Below are 3,668 nucleotides of genomic sequence, written 5' to 3' on the forward strand. Positions count from 1 at the left end.
ATAAATGAGTTATTTCATAAAAGAATTTAAAACTAATACATTTATGTGTGACTTCATCTGATTTCCATTTGAGTTGTTGTCTGTCTTTGCCAATTATTTTAATTATATTTTATTTTATTTCTGTTTTTTCAACTTCCTGGAGGTCTTGTTCAAGAAACAGGGTTGAAAGATGTGGTTTAAGGGCAGAGTAGTTAAAATTTATTTAAGCCTTCCTATCAACAGTTCTTTCTAAAAGATAGTTGAGAGGATTTGTCATAATTCTTTGGTCTCAGAACGTTACCTGCAAAACTAAAGCAACTCTTTCTCTATTTTAACCTTCTGTCCATTGGTCAGATTCATTGACGGCAGTATGAAGGACAAGATTAAGAGTATAAGGACTGTGATTATTTTCAACTCTGATGATAATACCCAATTCTGGAATTGGGCCAAACAACTAAAAAAGGATGATTATTATTAAGAAATAATGTTGGGCTTTTAGTTGGAGATAATCCTTTAGATTTATTCCTTAGACCATGTGTAGGAGAGATACAATTTTCAGCATATATTAATAATTTATCCCTTGACTCCCAACTCTACTCAACAATGCCACCTTCCTCATCTCAGTGCTCCAATTTCATCTGGGTTCCCACCTTCTTCCTTGCAACCATGTGCTCAAAAGAGGTGACTATCCCCAGCCCTAATCCCCACTCCCATCCTCATGAGAAAGTCAAAATAATGACATGAACTCTATTATAATTTATCTTGTAGCTTAAAAAACCCTCAAAATGAAAATACATTGTGGAAAATCTCTGAAAGAATACATAAATGAAATCAGTATAATGAGCAGTGATCCTCCATTCTTTCACTATCACTAACCCTTTAAGCCATGTCCCTCCTTTGGTGTATCTGTATGAATCACCGAGGGACAAATTCTCTGCTTAACCCTGTAATAATTCTGGGGACATAAAAGAGGTGGAATCACTTAACGTATTTCTTGAAGATATTTCATTTAAAATATTTTAAATTAGCTTTAGTTAATTTAAAGAGCTTCGGGATCTTTTATTTCTAATCAGTATCCTTCACAGAAACTAACCAAACAATTGCAGAAGCCTTTGGGAGCCCTCATTCTTACAAGGGCAAGGCTTTGTGGCTGCTTCAGCATGAAGGCAAAAGAGATTGGCAACTCAGCTGACAAACTCCCCTTTACAACACAGCAGAAAGAAAAAAACATCTGCTTAAGTGAAAACATGAGGGCAAACACCTTTCTTTTTGAAAAAAATACCCTTGATGAGTCATAGTGGGTCTTTCAGATGAGAAGTATGAGAGTCCCTAGGCAGCTAGATTTCTAATTCCCTATATAATAAAGGGAGGGCAATACAACAGAGGAAGTGTAAGGTGGGGAGAAGGGAGAGACAGAGAGAGAACAACAACAAAAAAAGATGATCTACAGTCTTCTTACTATCAAACTCTTCCAGGGCAGCAGTAGCTCAGTACAGGAGAAAACACTCAGAGATACAGAAAATATATGGCCTCATGTATGCTGTGATTTGAGTAAAAACACAAGAAAAAGAAAGAGCAACAGCAATAGCACCACGGTCTCTACAATTGAAGCCAAAATTCTAACATTTTAAGGACTGGATTCTAAGCAATTTTAAATAGAAAAAATAAGTTCATTACAGTGAACATATCAACCTGGATCAAACCACTATGGATAACGTGAGATAGCAGTAATAACATTGATTAAAGAAACAAAAAGAAGATGACCAAAGAACATATAAGAGGTTCCAAAGCTGGACAGAAACACTAGCAGAGTCACTAAGTGACTGGGAAGTGATTCTGTGCAGAAAGCAGTGTGGTATAGTGAATTGAGGATGAGGTTTGCTACAAAGAGATGTGGGTTCAAAATCTGACTCTAGTAAACCAGTGATGTGAGCTTTGGCAAATTTATTTCCCCCCCCTTAAACCTCAGTTTCTCTATTTATAAAAAGTCATATGACCTTTATAAAGGTCCTGGAACACATTAGGAACTTACTTCATCATTAAATATTGGCACTAATATTCAGATATATTCAGATATCCTTTATTTTTTACAAATCTATATTGACCATTTGATTCATATATTTATGCCTGTATTAACTGCTGTTTTATAAAATTGATTATAGTATATATTAGTCAGTTTTCACACTGCTATAAAAAAAATACCTAAGACTGAGTAATTTATAAAGACGAAGAGGTTTAATTGGCGCATGTTTCTGCCAGCTGTATAGGAAGCATGACATCTTCTGGTGGGGAGTTCAGGAAACTTTCAATCATGGCAGAAGGCAAAAGGGAAGCAGGCACATCTTACGTGCCCAGAGCAGGACGAAGAGAATGAGATGGAGGTGCCACACACTTTTAAACAGCCAGATCTCATAAGAACTCACTATCACAAGAACAGCACTAACAGGTAAATCTGTCCCCATGATCCAATCACCTCCCACCAGGCCCCACCTCCAATATTGTGGATTACAATTCAACATGAGATTTGGGTGAAGACACAGATCCAAATCATATCACAGTGGATTTATTGACTAATCCTTTGTTGTCATTGTACAATCCTGAGATTAAAAAAAGAACTTCAGAGGAGGCCAGGTGCCCTGGCTCACGCCTGTAATCCCAGCACTCTGGGAGGCCGAGGCGGGCAGACCACAAGCTCAGGAGTTCAAGACCAGTCTGGCCAACGTGGTGAAACCCCATCTCTGCTAAAAATCCAAAAAATTAGCCAGGTGCAGTGTTGTGCTCCTGTAATCCCAGCTACTCGGGAGGCTAAGGCAGGAGAATCACGTGAACCCGGGAGGCAGAGGTTGCAGTGAGATGAGATCGAGCCATTGCACTCCAGCCTGGGGGACAAGAGTGAAACTCCATCTCAAAAAAAAAAAAAAAAAGAAAAGAAAAGAAAAAAAAAAAAAAACTCCAGCTCTTGCTAAGGAGAAGTATTCGGTTGTGTTGGATTCAACCAGCGTATCTATACCCTGGTGCCCAAATTGGGTAGACACATCACTTATATTTCATTTCATTTCACCACAGCGATAAGAAATAGAAACTTGAAGCATTTTGTATGTTTCTGAAATACAATAAATCTTAATAAATTATGTCATCTTTATGCCACAAAAGCTCCCTGAACAACAAATGTGTTGAAATAGTCCACAACATAATATCAAAATATTTTCTCTGTTTTCAAATCTGTTCTTACATAGGTTTTCACTGTGTGTCTCTTTAGCACAGCTTTTGCTGGCATCAGTTATCTAAAAACAAGCTCTGGCATACTTTTTATCATGTAGACGTGTGCACTAAAAGCTTAGAACATTAACTGCAGAGTTAGAACTGAAATAAAGTGATACTAAGCCAGAATATTTCAAATAAATTTGCTACAGTTGTGTGTGCATATCTCAATGTAGCCCACCCTCTGGTATCCTCCACAAGGTCTCCACCCTGCCTGCCAATATTCGGTTTATTAGATTTGACCGAATGAAATATTTTGATTTGCATTAAACAGTTTTTGTTTGTTTTTTTGGCTTGAGATTCTGTGATCACTGAAAAATGCTAATGTCATGTACACCAGCCAAACAGTTTTGCTCATAAATATTGGATATACTACTATTTTGCATGTTTTATACATCTTTTTAATTTTAACATTTAACTGAGCACAA

General features: G+C 37.1%; 1 annotated feature.

The window, feature by feature from the left end:
- Positions 1,139-1,408: an enhancer, noted in NCBI's record as "active region_20192". NCBI's record gives its function as "activates an Ori minimal core promoter by ATAC-STARR-seq in GM12878 lymphoblastoid cells {active_cell/tissue: GM12878}" and the evidence as "EXISTENCE:reporter gene assay evidence [ECO:0000049][PMID:35858748]".

Source organism: Homo sapiens, chromosome 3 (assembly GCF_000001405.40).
Source record: "Homo sapiens chromosome 3, GRCh38.p14 Primary Assembly".
Lineage (NCBI taxonomy): Eukaryota > Metazoa > Chordata > Mammalia > Primates > Hominidae > Homo > Homo sapiens.